At 52.4% G+C, this 17,001-nt stretch overlaps 2 protein-coding genes across 2 annotated transcripts, besides 1 other annotated feature; one reads left to right on the forward strand and one right to left on the reverse strand.

Moving 5' to 3' along the window:
* The first annotated feature begins 1 nt into the window (after position 1).
* On the forward strand, positions 2-3,927 carry SSTR4 (somatostatin receptor 4). Its single transcript, NM_001052.4, has one exon. The coding sequence runs from the start codon at positions 174-176 to the stop codon at positions 1,338-1,340; it is 1,167 nt and encodes a 388-aa protein (NP_001043.2). The 5' UTR covers positions 2-173; the 3' UTR covers positions 1,341-3,927.
* Positions 543-1,089: an enhancer, noted in NCBI's record as "H3K27ac-H3K4me1 hESC enhancer chr20:23016490-23017036 (GRCh37/hg19 assembly coordinates)". NCBI's record gives its function as "activates a minimal SCP1, AML or CMV promoter by ChIP-STARR-seq in naive H9 embryonic stem cells {active_cell/tissue: H9 hESC(naive)}" and the evidence as "EXISTENCE:reporter gene assay evidence [ECO:0000049][PMID:30033119]".
* On the reverse strand, positions 10,323-14,362 carry THBD (thrombomodulin). Its single transcript, NM_000361.3, has one exon. The coding sequence runs from the start codon at positions 14,192-14,194 to the stop codon at positions 12,467-12,469; it is 1,728 nt and encodes a 575-aa protein (NP_000352.1). The 5' UTR covers positions 14,195-14,362; the 3' UTR covers positions 10,323-12,466.

Here is a 17,001-nt window from a genome sequence, read left to right on the forward strand (position 1 = left end):
GGGGCGCGCGGCGCGGGGATTGGCGGGCGCTCCCCGGTGCCCGCAGCTCTTCAGCGTAGCCGGGAAGAGCCGCGCGTCTGCGCGCCAGCCCCCGCCCTGGGCCCGCCGCCCGAGCTCTCTGGCGCAGCGCTAGCTCCGCCGCGCTCAGCTGCCCTGCGCCGGCACCCCTGGTCATGAGCGCCCCCTCGACGCTGCCCCCCGGGGGCGAGGAAGGGCTGGGGACGGCCTGGCCCTCTGCAGCCAATGCCAGTAGCGCTCCGGCGGAGGCGGAGGAGGCGGTGGCGGGGCCCGGGGACGCGCGGGCGGCGGGCATGGTCGCTATCCAGTGCATCTACGCGCTGGTGTGCCTGGTGGGGCTGGTGGGCAACGCCCTGGTCATCTTCGTGATCCTTCGCTACGCCAAGATGAAGACGGCTACCAACATCTACCTGCTCAACCTGGCCGTAGCCGACGAGCTCTTCATGCTGAGCGTGCCCTTCGTGGCCTCGTCGGCCGCCCTGCGCCACTGGCCCTTCGGCTCCGTGCTGTGCCGCGCGGTGCTCAGCGTCGACGGCCTCAACATGTTCACCAGCGTCTTCTGTCTCACCGTGCTCAGCGTGGACCGCTACGTGGCCGTGGTGCACCCTCTGCGCGCGGCGACCTACCGGCGGCCCAGCGTGGCCAAGCTCATCAACCTGGGCGTGTGGCTGGCATCCCTGTTGGTCACTCTCCCCATCGCCATCTTCGCAGACACCAGACCGGCTCGCGGCGGCCAGGCCGTGGCCTGCAACCTGCAGTGGCCACACCCGGCCTGGTCGGCAGTCTTCGTGGTCTACACTTTCCTGCTGGGCTTCCTGCTGCCCGTGCTGGCCATTGGCCTGTGCTACCTGCTCATCGTGGGCAAGATGCGCGCCGTGGCCCTGCGCGCTGGCTGGCAGCAGCGCAGGCGCTCGGAGAAGAAAATCACCAGGCTGGTGCTGATGGTCGTGGTCGTCTTTGTGCTCTGCTGGATGCCTTTCTACGTGGTGCAGCTGCTGAACCTCTTCGTGACCAGCCTTGATGCCACCGTCAACCACGTGTCCCTTATCCTTAGCTATGCCAACAGCTGCGCCAACCCCATTCTCTATGGCTTCCTCTCCGACAACTTCCGCCGATTCTTCCAGCGGGTTCTCTGCCTGCGCTGCTGCCTCCTGGAAGGTGCTGGAGGTGCTGAGGAGGAGCCCCTGGACTACTATGCCACTGCTCTCAAGAGCAAAGGTGGGGCAGGGTGCATGTGCCCCCCACTCCCCTGCCAGCAGGAAGCCCTGCAACCAGAACCCGGCCGCAAGCGCATCCCCCTCACCAGGACCACCACCTTCTGAGGAGCCCTTCCCCTACCCACCCTGCGTGGCCACCTCCCAAGGGGTGGGCACCATTCCTACAGCCCCGAAGACTGCATCTCCTGAATGCTCACCTAAGCTCCACCACCTGTTCCTTCCAGCAGCCCATGTACCTGCCGGAGAGTGTCAGAACTCTTCTGCTGCTCTCCTCTCCCCTGCACTCTGGCTTTCAAAAGGATGCTTCCATATGGGTAGGACTCCTCTGGAAACTGGGCTAGGATATTAATCATTCCTGAACCTCTGGCTGTTCTTCAAGGGCTGGGAAGCAGGAGGTGGTGAGAAATGAATGGTCCCTGTGTGTGACTCCTTACAGCCACTGCTTGGGAGAGGACTCAAGAAGGTGGAGGGAGGTAGCACCCTTCCTCTCTGCAGACGCTCTGCCTTGTGGTGGGAGCACAGCTTGTACAGGAGAGAGGAGGAAGGAAGATGCCCCCAGGCACCTGCCCTTTATGTCTCTTCCTGAGCTCTTGTTAAGTGAGACTTATGTTAACAGCCTGGGGCACTTACTTCCCTCCCCACTCACCCCCGGCCTGGGAATAACATCTGCTTGCTGTCACAGGTGTCTCCCTGAGTTGCCCTGAGCTGGGAGCAGTCTTCCTGTGAGTAGAAAAGGTTTGGAGAGACATGACATGGGGTTTATTGCAAGGCATAAAACCAGGTCAGTAATAACAAAGCAGATGATAAAAACTTCATCTAGCTCCTATGATGTAATTTTTTTTCCCTGATCCTTTGATGTGGGAACATGAGAACTCATTAAGGCAGCAATTTATACTGTGGTGGTGAGTGAGAGAGGAGCCATGGGCGGGAAAAGCTGACCAGAGAGCAGCGAGGGATGGGAACCAGCCCAGGTTTTGGATAGAGGAAGCAGCTTCATCACCACCCCCTATTTTAGAATGTCATCTTTCAGTAAAACATCAGCCACATTAGATATTAACATGTAAGTTGAACACAATAAAAGGCCGTATCTTTGTTGCCTGATGTGTTAACCAAAGGATAAATTATCTTTCCCAAAGGGAAAGAGCTTAAGAGGAGCTCTAATTCTGCTTTCTGATAAAAGCAGGGGAGGGGACAAAGGAGAACTTGGAACACTTATGTTAGCATCTGGTGTAACAACATAGGAACATGTATGAAGTTTGGGGGACCCCACCTGGCTTAGCATTCAGAGACTACCTCTGGGTTTAACCGGCCTGATTCTGGATGATCATTCTGGTGGTATGGGGAAGATGGTGTGGGGAGGGGGAGAGACAGCCAAAGGTCAACACCCTATGCCCTTCAGAGTGGTCAGCCTCACAGACCACTCTGAGAGAATGGGTAGCCATGTCTGTACTACATACTGGAGACATGACTGTGGAATGGAAGTTTCAAAACTAAGTCAGAGAACCCTCTGATCCTGCAAACACACATGCACACACACAGAGACATCAACCATCTCTAATTTGTTGGCACCCACCAGGGATACCTTGGGCATCTGAAGTCAGTCTCCATGTCTGTGGGTCTCGTGTAACCATAACTACTTGGAGTTTTTTAAAACTGCATTATTTCTTTGTTCCTCAGTGTCTGACAATGCCTGCCAGGATGGGCACTGATGAATATGGTTGAACGGAACTCCAAGGACCACCCAGGTTGATAGTAGTGAGGTGAGGGGTTCACAGCACTGGCAGTGGTCCCCAGGGCTTCTTCCCAGCTTGTACGTGGGGTTGGGGGTCCTTTCTTTAGTCTCTCAGTGATCAGACTGGGCAAACTCTCTGATAAGCAAGACAGGGCACCTACCAGGAGTCTTGGCAACACTAGTGTGTGGCTGCCCAGATTAGCATGGAATAAGACACATTCTATTTAGAAATGTCAGCCTTTTTAACTTAGTTGATGAAGGTTGAAGGAGAGGCAGCTTCAGGTGATGGAAAGAAAAGTCTCTGAGAGGCAGGACACCTCAGCCTCAGCTACCCCGTGAGCAGTGATTTAACCTCTCTAAGCCTCAGTTTCCCACTTGGAATATGTGCCAAGGGAGGTTCGAGTTTTGAGCTCTTCCCAGCTGTAAACTCTGCATTGGCAGAGACACCGTGGAGACACGCGAATCAAATGGTGGGAGGGCAGGAGATAGCACGCTTCTCTGCTTAGTCCTCCTTCCATCACCACTGGAAAATGAGCGTGAACACTGCCCTTGACCCTGCAGTCATAAGTCATGCAGGTGGTGGCGGGGTGGGGGTGTAGGGTGAGCCTACCCGCTGCTCTCTTCTTTAGCTTCAGGGCCTTTTCATTTCCCGGCAGCAACGAGGTGCACTGAGCACTTGTCGGGGCTGTGTTTGGAGCCCATCAACAGTGCTACCAGCTTTAGTTCCATCAACCCCAGGCTTTTGTAACAACTGGTTGCATGAAACCCTCCCTTGTAGTTTGTGTACAGAAGACTGCAATGAATTGAAGTCATGAGACATACAGCCAGGATCCTGAAAGCCACCAACATATGTCACCTGCCTGGGAGGCTTGCTTCGATGGTCATCTTGTTCTGCCTGCTAAGACCAGGAGTCACAGCTGTTGACATCATGGTGAATAAAAACATTTTCTGCCACAGGTAGAAACAGCCTTTGCTCATCCCTCCATCTGTCAGAGATCTTGCTTTTTCTTTTACAATTGTCTTTAATGTACTGTTCCATGGCAAGCCAGGTGTTCCATTTTCCCAGATGGTCAGGGAAGATGGTATTTAGACATGACAGGCTGTCACTCAGCAGGATACTTGCCCAGTTTGTCAGCTCTGATCTGTGAGCAAAGATGCATATGAGTTTCACACTCATCTGTGAAGTATTGGCTTCACTTTCATTAAAGTCATCATAGCTGGCATTCCTTAGATGCTAGAGGTGGATGCAAAGGATCAACTAAATATAGCACGTTTTGGCGGCACTGCCTCAGAAACCAGACATGAATCCTAGCAAATGTGGGCATTGACACTCTTCTCTGAGAGGTTGGAGGTAGTGAATTACCCCCATCTCCCACATTCTCATTCCATAAGTAGATGACAGCATAGCCTCAGATTCCTTAAGGACAAATGTTAGAATCCTAGGGCTGTGTTTTCTGAGACAGCTCCACCATGGTGTACACCATCAGCCAGCAGCACACCCTGGAAACTGTCTTGCTGACTAGCATGCATGGGGGTATACATGTGGACAGTTCGCTGAGTGCTTCTCTCGGGTGGTGCAACAGGTTTCCAGACAAAACGATGAGTCTACAAAGGCAGCTTCTGCCTTCATGGAGCTTGGAGGTTAGTGGCAAAAGACAGGCATTAATCAAATAAGCACAGAAATGAGAGTACAGTTCTAAACCTAAATAAGCACTGTGCAGGAAAGGAATGTACTTTCTAAGAGATGATGATAAAAGAAGTTGCCCATGACTCAGAGCAGGCTTTCCCCAGGAAAGTGGCTGGAGATGACCTCCTCTGAAGCGTACCTAGGCATTAACTAGGAAAGGAAGGGGCGGGGCACAAGGTGTTCCTGTAAGCTCTAAGCAGAGGGAACAGCATGTGCAAAGAGCTTGCAGTGGGAGGCACTGAAGGGCTCAATGTGACCAAAACACAGACCACAGGGGCGTGTGAGGCACTGGCAGGCACATGAGCAGGAGCCTAATGCCTTCTATGCCACCTCAAGGATGAGGGCTGTGTCCTAAGAGCCAGGGGTCAGTGGTGGCAGGCTCTAATGAGGGGCTTGGGTCTGCCTAGTAAGAGAAGCCTATCAAAAGCTTTGGGGTCCTTGTGAAATTGAGGCTTAACATGCCTCTGCTTTTCAGGGAGGGGTTGGCAGGATGATCATGTCCTTCTTTCCAACTTTCATCAACTTTATATGAACTGAAAGGCAGGGACCTCAATCCTGTGAAGGAAGGGACTTTAGTGCCTAACAGTGGGGGCACCTTCTGAAATGGGGGAGAACTTATGTAAAAAAATGCCTAGAATGGGAGTATTGACTTTCTACAAAGAAAAACATGTGGCTTCCTATTGTCAAAAGACACCATGAGCATCCACCTGCCGTAACATAGCACTTGAAATGACTGGATTTCTGGGGCTCTGCCTAAAGAGTGGGGCTGCCAAAGGTCAGCACTCACCCAGTGTGAACGTGTCGTAGATGGGGAGAAAGAACAAATTGAGAGGCACACAAACCAGGACTGAGTTCCGGCTCTCCCACTTCCAGCCCACAGCGGCCCAGGGAAGGCTGCATGACTGTGTGGAGAGGGCAGAGCAACAGTATCCACCTGCAGGTGCACAGTGACACACAAAGGCCATGTTCCTGGCCCAGGGGAGGAAGGTTTACCATTCAAATGGTGACTACTTCATGATATAGAAGGAGGAAGAGGGAGTTGGTACACAGTTGGGTGTCTTTTTTTTCCATTTTTTTTTTTAATCAGGCTTTCATTAGTGTTCTGAAGAGGCTGTAATTTCTTTTTAATCTATTTTTAATTGGAGTATAATTTACATATGGTAGAGTGTTCTCTTTCTAGTTGTACAGTTCTATGAATTTTGACATGCAAATTTTTACATTTTACATTTTACAATTTTACATTTTACATTGGGGCAACTAACTGTTGCCCCAATCAAGATCGGGACTGTTTTGGTCACCATCTACTTCCCTCTTAGTGGCTGTGATTTGTGGCCAAGGAGGAAGGACACAGACAGCATGGGGAGGACCTGAGGAGGTACAGAATTGGAGATGGTGCTATCCCCAAATCCATGGAGGCCACCTGGTTATACCATTTCCCGAGTTCATCCCCCCAGACTAGGAGACCTCAACCAATTTACATAGGAAGCTATAGCCCTCTTGACCTTATGGATCTGAAAAGAAGTATCCTGGAATCTAGACACCACCTGGAGAAACTAGAGGGTTGAGTATGTCCCTGGGCAAGCTGCTAATTCCATAATGACTTCGTGATCCTTTACTCCAAGCACTGGAGAGAGGGTGTGGATTCCACTCCAAGCTCCCTTCCGCCAAACAGAGCAGAGTGCTCCTCAAGATCCAGCCGCATCCCAAAAGCACCATTTCCGTTTGTCACGGGCCTCCAGGCAGCTTGCTGTTGAGTTTGCTCATGTTTATCATGGCCGTATCCTGTGCTGTGGAGAGTCATAGACAAATTAAACAGTGAAACTGGGACTTGCCCCATGCCCTTTTCAGACTTTCCATTCTCCTGGCACTACCCTTGGGTTTCTGCATGCTACCTTTTTGGAGGAGGGGGAAAATACATGAAGAAAGACTGGAGTCAAACCCTGGCAAAGGCTCGCTGAAAATGGGGATTTGGGATTATATGAGCATTTCAGAACAGATTTATTAAAAGAGGGGGACAATGAACAAGGCGTAGGATCTCCAAAGAGTCTGTGGAAGGTGGGATCCATGTTCCCAAAGGATTTAAATCGAAACAAGGCAGTAGGCAGTGGGAAAAGGGGAGGAATTAGGGAGAATGTGGAAAAGCCCCTCTCCTCTTTGCCAAGTAGAACAAAGCTTTGCTGGACAACAGCGGGGTAACTTAGCATTTAGGTACGGCATTAGCAAGAAGTCAGAAAGAAGATTTGAGATGGGCACAGAGGTGCTAACCTCTAACCAAAAGCACAGAGGTTATATTGCCAGGCGTTGAATATGCAGAAGATAAGTGGGTTTTGTCTTAGGATAATATCGGTATTAAAATGGCTATTTTAAGAGAAGATTTCCTTCAGGCAGAGATCCAAGGAAATATCTGGCCTGTGGCCCAGGTGGCATAATTGTCACAGACCCCAGCTTTGACTCTTGGTGTTTCTCATTGGATCCCTGAAACCCTCTGCTCTCTGCTCCCCCTCTCCAGTGGGCGTAACCTTGAGTTAACCCATCCCCAGGGTTCTTTTGTCTTTCACAATCACACTTTCAAAACACCCTGAAAAGGATTTCGATTCTATTAGCATCTGATGTTAAAACAATATTTAGCTTCCCTTGTGAGAAGAAATCAGTTGTTTGCCTACATCTGAACCTGCTAACCAAAAAAAAAAAAAATGAGGAAGGGAACACTCAAAACAAAAAGAGATATCACTGAACCCAGGGCATTCATTCTGGAAAAGAAAGAAAGAAAGAACTGGGCATTGTCTGCATTGTTTTATGAAGAAATGCTTCTAAAGCTCAGGAGATGTATTTTGGGTACCCCCACTCAGCTATAACCATGAAGAAAATGTGTTTTCATGTATTATTTGCAACCTCAGTTTTCCTTGAATAGATGATATAATAAGGAATCGCATTCAACAGAGAATAGCAAGTGACTCCAGAAGGTAGGAGGTGGGGGATCTTCTGTCCCCTGGCCCCATCCACAACCATAATGTCTCTCAAAGGAATGTCACCTACAGGAACTTCCCTCCGTACCTCCTGCTGGCTCTGTTGGGGCCAGAGCTATGTTTCTCTTTCTCCTCTGGGCCCTGAGAAATGGAGAAGGGCACTCTGGAGCATGTTCTTCCTCCTCCGAGCCTCCTTGGGAGAACAGCGGAGGGAGTCTCTGTCCCCTGTACTTGACTAAGCCTTGTGAGAAGGGAAAATAAGCTGAAGCCTTCGAAGCTGGATTTTAGAGTGACCGAGTGTTGGAGCTCACTTCTCACCTGGCACAAAAATCTTCCTGTTTAAGCTATGATATAGATGCCTGCAAATCCAACATTACAGTTCCTCTAGCATTGACAACATTGCTCCAAGCAACTGCATCTTCCCTTGATGGAACAGTATCCACTTTGTGCAACCTTGAGTTTGCCCGTAAGACACTCATGATTCCAACACAGCTTTTTTCTGTACTCATTTATGCATCTACCAGTTCACTGGCACACAAGTAAACAGTTATTGGGTATCTACCATGGGCCAGAAACTGAGCTTATCTAATCTTCCTGGAAACCTTGTGAGGCGGCACTGCTTGAACCCGTCTTACAGCCTTTGAAGGGTCATGTGGTGCCCGTGGCCATGTGACCAGCAGGTTTCAGGCTGGGGTCACACCCAGGTGTGTATGCTGTTCACACCACATATCAGCCCTGCGGGGTGCTTACAGCGGAAATTGTGCAGGTTCCTGCCCAAGAGGGACATGTAAATACATCTAGAAGTAGTTGTTATCTTCCCAAACAATGCAGTACATAAATTGAATCCCAGTGCACTCTCATCAAAACTCCTTGAGTGCCCCCACTTGCACCCAGAACATTTTTCAATGTCACTCTTTCAGTCTTTTTTTCAGTGTCTTTGACCTACAGCCCCTACAGTCATCTCCCACTGCTTGTATCTCTCTTTCCACCTCTTCAGCTGCCTTGCAGCCCACCTCACCTTGTTCACTATGCCCAGTCCGCTCCACCAGGGCTCTTCCCAGTACAGGGCCTTTGCAGGTGTGATCCTTCCCACCTGGACTGCTTCCCCTCCAGTTTGCATTTGACAAACCCCTCCTTCCCCTTCAGGTCTGGTGTTAAGTGTCAGCTTGTCCAGGAAGCTCCCTCTAGTCCTCCACTCTAAATCCTGCCTTCCTCGTGCGCCTTTTCAGAGTGTGCTGTGCTTTTCTTCCCCTGCACTTATCACTGTTTCTAAGTTAAGTACAATTTGGGGGTGATCAGTTGTTTTGCATCTTTCTCCCCTGCCAGAGTCTAACTTATATGGTAGGGACTTGTCATTGTGCCTATCACTATGAAAGGCACAGAGTAAATGCTCAGTAAATAATTGCTGAACTAATCTAAGAAATAGGTGAGAACTGGAAAAAAAAAATAACAAAGTCATTTGACTTAAAAAAATGCATTCTGTTTACTTTAAAACAGCAGGCTAGGAAAAACAAACAAACAAACAAACAAACAAACTTGAATGCTGGCTTATCCAGAAATACCACCTTGGCTTTCTTGCCCCGGACTTTTGTGCTATGAAATTTCACCAGCAACTGGTCCCTGGGAGTCTCCCTCAGACCTGGATGTCCAATGATGTGAACAGAAAGCAGAGATCACACAGGTTGACCCATGGCTCTGGTTTCACAAGGTCTATCCTGATTTTAAATTCTCAGGGATAGTTTTTAAAGCTAACTGATTTGTTTATGTGGTCCTGGTATCTTTCCCTGAGAGGCACTATGGCTATTTAGCGTTTTGAGAATCTCAAGTTCAGATGAGACCTATAAACAGAACTGCTGATCCCCCAGGCAGCAGGAAGTGAGGAGGACAGGGAAGCTCAGGGCCCCGCACAACTAATGTCCTGGGGCCCAAGTGCTGCATGAAGGGTTTTTGCCTCTAGGTTTTGAAAGTGTGTTTTGGTCTTCCAGTGTTCCTTAAGAAAATGCCCCTCTTCTGGAATAAGAAGAAATCCTAACGCAATGAGGCCCTACAAGTCAGTTTGACAGTGACTGGGAGCAGACTCTTTTGACAAACAGAAGGCTGGGTAACAGGGGGCGAACTATAAGGTGTCACTGTCTCCTCTGGTCTCCCAGCCCCATTTATCTGCACCTGTCCTGCCCCCATTTGTGTAGCTCTTCCTTCACAAAGACTTAGTCTGCTACTTAGGGGGAGCATGGCTCAGCTTGTTATCTCCATAGGGCACTGTGCATGGAGCTTCCCCAGCACACACACACACACACTAAAGCCATTACTTCTTCTGCGATGGATGTCAAAATCTCCAACCCGGTCTTCACAATAATCAGTCAAACTAAAACTCATGAGTTCAGCATTATCCAGACATATAAAGCATCTGAATATTTGCCTGGACTCTACTTGCTTTTAATTTCTTCTTTAAAAAATCTTTCCGAGCCCTGCATATTGCATTCAGCCAGCCCTACCACCTTAGAAAAGTGAGCCCAAGAAACGTGTGCATTGAAAAGATGATGTTGTTAATCTCCAAAAGAGATGAGAATGATTTCATACTGGATGAGACGTTTAGAAATGAATATTTGAATGAGAGCCACAAACTGAGACCCTTCATGACTACAGTGAATTTGGATATCTCGCAGAGGAGATAATGCCAAACCATACACCGGACACACAGCTGGGATTCGCCAGATGCCCCAGGAAGGGTTTATTTAATTCATTCCAACAAATGATCCTATAATGCATTTATGCATTTAAAAGCACAGAGACACAAGTCCTCATATATGAAGTTGTTATGGTTACAGAAAGAAAATAAATATTTGTGCACACAGAGATAGCATGAAATCATTCTACAGTGAAAATAATAGCCTCTGGAAAAAGCTTTGAAAATCAGAGATGGTGCCACCACCAGACAACACAAGTGCTGGGGTACAGGGCAGCCCTCCATGCATCTCATAGCATTTGCATGGTTTGTGAGCCCCATTTAATGACATAAAATGAGGGCACTGAGGGAGGAAAAGTGAACAGACACACAACCCGAGAGCACATTGTTATTTGTTTATTTTGTACAAGTGATGTCATAAGCAAGGATTTTGCCTGTGTTCTAGATTATCTCCAATAAATAAATAACTATGTACAAATATTTTGAGTTTACAAAATAGAAGAGGAAAACCTTTGTCTTACAAAAGTTACATTTCTATGATACATTTATTTCCATACACTGAAGCAGGATTTCATTCCTAGCTTAGCTGAACCAAAGACCTTGCAGACCCTGTGTGGCAGTGTCTAGAGCTGTGTACCTAGCCTTTTCTACCAAAGAGCAAAGCTACACAAAGAAAATTCCTCAGTTTCTTGAAAATAAGGGCCTGACTTGGCCTGCTACTTATAACTGATCTATATTTCATGTATTCCAGAAAATTGGAAGCAGTCTGGAATGGTTGTCCTCAAATTACTGAGCAGACACACCCCCTGCAGATCTTGTTAAATATAGATTCTCATGAACTGGATGGGGTGGAGCCTAGGATTCTGCATTTCTAACCAGCTCCCATGGGCAGGGCAGCTTCCAATTCTTGTTCAGGGGCCACATTCCAAAAGGCCTCTCTGAAATGGTAGAAATTCTCTGAGGACCTGATTAAGGCTAGGCCCTAATTGGGCATCCTCCAGGATCCATTCCCAAGCTCCCAATTCCACAAGACCAGTAGAGCTGGTTTTATTTTGGTCTACCAGTGACAAGGAACAGTGACAGTCAATTGCTAATTGGCATGAATCATGCAGTTTGAAGCTTTCTTGAACTGTCTCCTGGGAGGTGTTTGTCTCTTCTCTCAATCTAGAGCAACCTTCTGAACATTTTCAACACTGTCAAAAATAAGTAATAATAACAAAAAAGGAAATTGCATAAGAAGATTAGCAACAATTACCATTTTTCAGTACAAATCAAAACAGCAACAAAATTCAGGCTCACTGTTTAAAAGTAAAGATAAATACCTCTTTGGGTGTAATTTCTATGACAGTCCAGCAACATCAATTTAATACCTTTTACATCTCAACCTTTGTTTAAAATTATTTTGCTCTGGGAATCTGAAATTTCAGGATAAATTAGCAAATCTGGTGAAAAAGCAAATGGCCATTTTTATTTTTAGTGTTTTTGTTTCTGTTTCATGTAGGGGTTCTGTCTGAGCAGACAGCTAAGAGCAAAAGAAGTAGGGTCAGGCACAGGTAGGGTGACTCAGGTGAGTTGGCCCAGTTCCTGGGAGGAGAAAACTAGGAAGAATGGGGAATAAGTGGGGCTTGCTTCATAAATGTGAGAGGGCTAGGAAAAAAAAATTCACCAAGATAGTTTACCTGTCACATGACAAGTGGGAGTTTGTAGAGAGAGAGAGACCGGAGAGCTGTGCAAAGTGGATACTGGAGACATACAGGTAAGAACAAAGGAAACAAACAAAAACCTAAATACTTAAAAAAAATAAATATTTTAGTCATCCCTAGCCCACGAGGTCAAGGTCTGCCCAGAAGGCTGCCGACCAATAACGCTCACCCTCCTGCGCCCGGTAGTGAGGACCTGGGACAAATCGCAGTCTGTGTCTTCGTTACAAAATTGCCATCATTGCCCAGTGGTCCAGTGACGTCACGGAAGAGGCCGAGGCTCATTCTCCTCCCTCTAATCACCCCCTCGCCAGTTAGCCATGGAATAGAAGAAAACAGCTTGGGGGGTGCGGGGAGGGTCTTCTCCAGCTGTAATGCCAGCTAAGGTGCTTTGGTAGCAAAGCTGGGGGTGAGGAGGCACAGGCTCCTGGACGGAGCCAGGCTCCTGGACGGAGGCCGCTCAGAGTCTCTGCGGCGTCCGCTCGGTCCGCACGTGCTGCAGCACTACCTCCTTGGAAGGGGCCGCGCACTTGTACTCCATCTTGGCCCTGGCGGCGCCCTGCTTCTTGCGCAGGTGGCAGAGGAGCGCCAAAAGCGCCACCACCAGGCACAGGCTCGCGATGGAGATGCCTATGAGCAAGCCCGAATGCACGAGCCCCACGGCCGGAGGAGTCAAGGTGGAGCCGGGCGTCGGGCTGGGCGGGGGCTCGCCAGAGCCGCTGTCGCCACCGTCCACCTTGCCGGAGTCACAGTCGGTGCCAATGTGGCGGGCAAGGGCCGAGTCGGGCCCGCAGATGCACTCGAAGGTACCGGGGAGGTTGTGGCACACCCCGGAGCAGAAGCCGCCGTTTTCGCACTCGTCGATGTCCGTGCAGATGAAACCGTCGTCCAGGATGTAGCCTTCAGGGCACTCACAGCTAGCCTGGGTGTTGGGGTCGCAGTCGGCTGGACAGGCAGTCTGGTTGCAAAACATCTGGCACCTGTGCGGCTCGTGGGGAATGGGCGCGAAGCCCTCGGCGCAGACGCAGAGGTAGCTAGTTTGGTTCAGGGGCTGGCACTGGTACTCGCAGTTGGCTCTGAAGCACGGGTCCACGGGCTCCACACACTCGCCGTCCACCAGGTCGTAGTTAGGGTAGCAGTGGCACTCGAAGCCACCCTGTGTGTTGACACAGCGCTGCGGACACGGACTGGGCTCCAGTATGCAGTCATCCACGTCCTCGCACCGGTGTTGGTCGGCCGCCAGCCGGTAGCCGGTCTCGCACATGCACGAGTAGGAGCCCGGCTGGTCGGGGTTGGGAACGCAGAAGTGCTCGCAGAGGTCGTTGCAGGACTGCGTCGCGGATGCGGTGCAGGAGCGCCCGTCTGCCTGCAGGGCGGCGCCGGCTGGGCACTGGCAGCGGGGAGCCCCAGGGATCGCATTGCACGCGTGCTCGCAGCCGCCGTTCTCCACGCTGCAGTCCCAAGCGCCCGGCGCCTCCCTGGCCCAGTGCCCCTGGACCGCTCCGGGCGGCGCGGTGCACATTAGCTGTAAGCCGAGGGGAGCCACCGCGGCGGAGCTGCCCACCGGCAGCGCCTGGAAGTCCGCTCCGCGGGCCGCGAACGGGGTGCCGTAGGTGATCGAGACGGCGGCAGCCGCGGCGCCGGGCTCCACAGCCAGTGGCCTGCAGGTGGCTGGGAAGTGGAACTCGCAGAGGAAGCCATCGGCCTTCACTTCGCACTGCTGCTCCTCCCAGATCGGCTCGCTGGGCACAGTGGCCTCAGCAGCGGAGACAGCGACGCACAACGGGCCGCAGAGGGGAGCCCCATTGAGGTCGAGCCGTGCCCACCTGCTATAGCTGGTGTTGTTGTCTCCCGTAACCCACTGGAAGCCGCGCAGGGGCCCGAGGCGCTTGGGGTCGCCGCAGCCGGGTGGCAGCTGCAGGCCGATCCAGAGGCGCCGGCGGCCAACGCCGCCGTCGCCGTTCAGTAGCAAGGAAATGACATCGGCAGCCACCGAGGAGCGCACTGTCATTAGGTGGCCCCGCAGTCCGTCGCAGATCTGACTGGCATTGAGGAAGGTCGCGGGGCCCGGGTAGAGCGCGAAGCAGTCGTGCTCGACGCACTGGCTGCCACCCGGCTGCGGCTCTGCGGGTGCGGGGAACCCCAGGCCGGCCAGGGCCAGCGCGCCAAGGACCAGGACCCCAAGCATGTTACCCAGGCGCGCCGCGTGCAGGCGCCGGGGAAAGCGCGGGCACTGCGACAGGGCCGTGCCGGAGCAGAGGGGCACAGGACGCCGATGGCGACAGCCTCTCCTGTCCGTCCCAGCCCAGACACTTCTTGCCGCTGCGCGCAGCCCCTGCGAGGCAGCCTCTGACATGCGGATCGGCCAGGGCTCGAGTTTATAAGTGCCCGGCCCTCCCTCCCTGGACGTTCGGGAAAAGGAAGGAAGTGCCTGGTGGGAAGGGCTGATGCCGCATACTCGGATTGCTGGGTTCTCTGGCCGCCCTTGCGCCCGCCCTCGCGCATGGGATCACCTCGCCGGGATGAGTAAACCCTGCCCTGGCGCAGGGAGGTTCTCGGGCGGGGCCGACAGGGGCAGGCGCCAGGGAAGGCCAGCACCCCTGTAACAAGACGACTGTCCCCGCCCACCACTCGGGCCCCCACGCGTGCAGCCCTCTTTCATCTCTTGGTCCTCCTTTCTTTCTTTTCATACATGTTACAGCCACTTCCAAGGAAAGCCTGGATTGCAAGAGCTCTGGGAACCGGAGACTTCAGAGAAGAGGGCTTTGAATGGGGAGTGGGGGAGGTGGTGCACAGGACCTGCAAGACGCTGGGAGGGGTGATCGGCACCAAGGGCACTTTGGGAGGACCTGCCTAGGACGTGGACTTCCCCGAAGACAGGATCGCAAGGAGAGACAGCTGGATCCTGTCCGCGGCCAAGGTGCCTGGCTCAGGAAACCAGCGGAGCGCGCTTGGCCTCACAGGACAGTGGGTGTGGCTGGGGTGACGGGGCAGGGTGGGGAAGACTGGCCTAACACCAGCGCCCTCTGCCCCATGGCTGGCCAGGGACCCGCGAGTCCCTGGACACGCACTGGCCAACGCCAGACCCCATCTCATCGGGTGGGGAAGTCGCGGGGACACTGTCAGGGCGCCGAAGTCCGGACCCGGCTCAGAGGCGGTGGCAGGTGAATTGCTGCGGCGCCGGGTAGGGGCGGGCGCGTGGGAGCGAGTCAGCCTGGCCAGTTTCGGCCCAGCTTCCGAAGGATGGTGCTTCTTGCACCCCAACAGAGTGGCTGGCAACCCCCCAGGGGAGCGCGCAGGATCCCAGCTGATCCCACCCGGGTCGGCTAAGGAGGTTTCCATTTCGTCCAGAGTCCGAATTGATACCCACGTGCATAGAAACGCCACTTGCTCGGCAAAGGGCACTGAAGAGCCACCGTCCTGTGGATGGGCAGGGTGGGGGGGGGGCTGGAGGAGGACATGGGAATCCGTCACTTTCGACCTCTTCCGGTGGTTCACTTACCGGGAATGCGGAAGAGTGGGTCTCCCCCTCGGGTCGCCCCCATAATGGTGAGAGGCAAACTGTTTAAAAACACCCTTGCCTCTCTCCTCTACTGTCCTCACAACGAGCGCCAGGGGGCGGCGCTGTCGAGCTCTAAACAAAGCCAAGGAAGTTGGAGAAGTTTCGGGCTAAAAAGGGTTAAGGTGTAGGAGCACAGAGTCCTCCTTCTGGGGTTGGAAGCTCCGTTCCCGGGCAGCTCAGCGTGGATTCCGCTGCGTTCACCTCTTGCCTCCAGGGCCCAGTAGATCCTGGGCTTTAAACAAGAACAGAGAGTATGGCGTCTGCCACGTGCGACAGACACGCACCGGTGGGGTGGGCCGGGCTGGACTGGACTGACCTGCAGTGACCAAACGGGTGGGGCGTGGACACTCTGAAAGTGAAAAAGGCAAGCACGACTGTCCCGCCGCACACTCCCCAGCGCCTTGGGGCAGAGAGCCTCCAAACGTCCCGCTGAGTTGAGCTCTTCGCTGGGAAGGCCGCCCCAGCACCCAGGAAACGAAGGAGCTGCTGGACACGGGGGTCTGAAGCTCCCGGAATGCACACAGCTGCGCCTCCCCTGACGCGGACCCCCTGGGAAGAGGAAGGGAAGAGCGGCAGATAGCACAGTAGGGCTTGTCCGGCGGGAGCAGTCAAGCTGTGGCTGCCTAGGCTGAATCAGGGGGTCGTGACTCCGGTGCACAGCCTGCCTACGCGGGACGCAAAAGCAGGGCTGCCTGCGGTGCCGCCATGGGGGTGAGGGTGGAGCTTCAGATAAGGGCAGGAACCTCGTTGGGGCACTGCTGAAAGGTCTCAGAATGTGGGGACAATTCCCAGAGTGAATGAGACAAGAGAGGGGGACAGGATCGGTTACAGAATCAGAAACCAGTGCAAAGTGAAAATGTGGGGTCCATTGTTCAATTACAAGGATTCAAGACTGTGATAGCAAAGTGTTAAACAAGGAATGAGGCCCTGGGGGGGTGATGAGAGGGCCCTTCTGAACCTGCCAGCCCTAAAAGCCACTGAGGGACATTCAAGGATCAGATCTCACCCCACACCAGGCTGGCTGAGTTCTTGGATGGATTCTAGCTGATTCACCAACACAATGTTTCACTGGACGTCCTACACAGGTCCACTTGCACCCATTGCTGATTCTTGCAAAGAAAAAAAAAGTGTGAGAACAGCCCCAATAGCTGAGTCCACTAAGAACTCAGTGATGTCTGTGAAACTTGGATCAACCCTATATGAGGAGGTGCAGATGTTGGATGTTTCTGTATTAGAAAGAAACTAGAGCAACAACAGATAGAAGCAGAGCATTGTCCCATGGGGGGTACCACAGTGTCTGGGTTGCCCTACACAAGGATGGGTGGACATGACCCACTTGGCTTTCCCACCTGTAAGGGCTTTACCCCTGACCCTCAGGATACCTTTGCCTTGTGGGGCCTGCCCTCAGCCGCTTTGTTTTTCCTCTCCAGCCA

Source organism: Homo sapiens, chromosome 20 (genome assembly GCF_000001405.40).
Source record: "Homo sapiens chromosome 20, GRCh38.p14 Primary Assembly".
NCBI classification, from domain to species: Eukaryota; Metazoa; Chordata; class Mammalia; order Primates; family Hominidae; genus Homo; species Homo sapiens.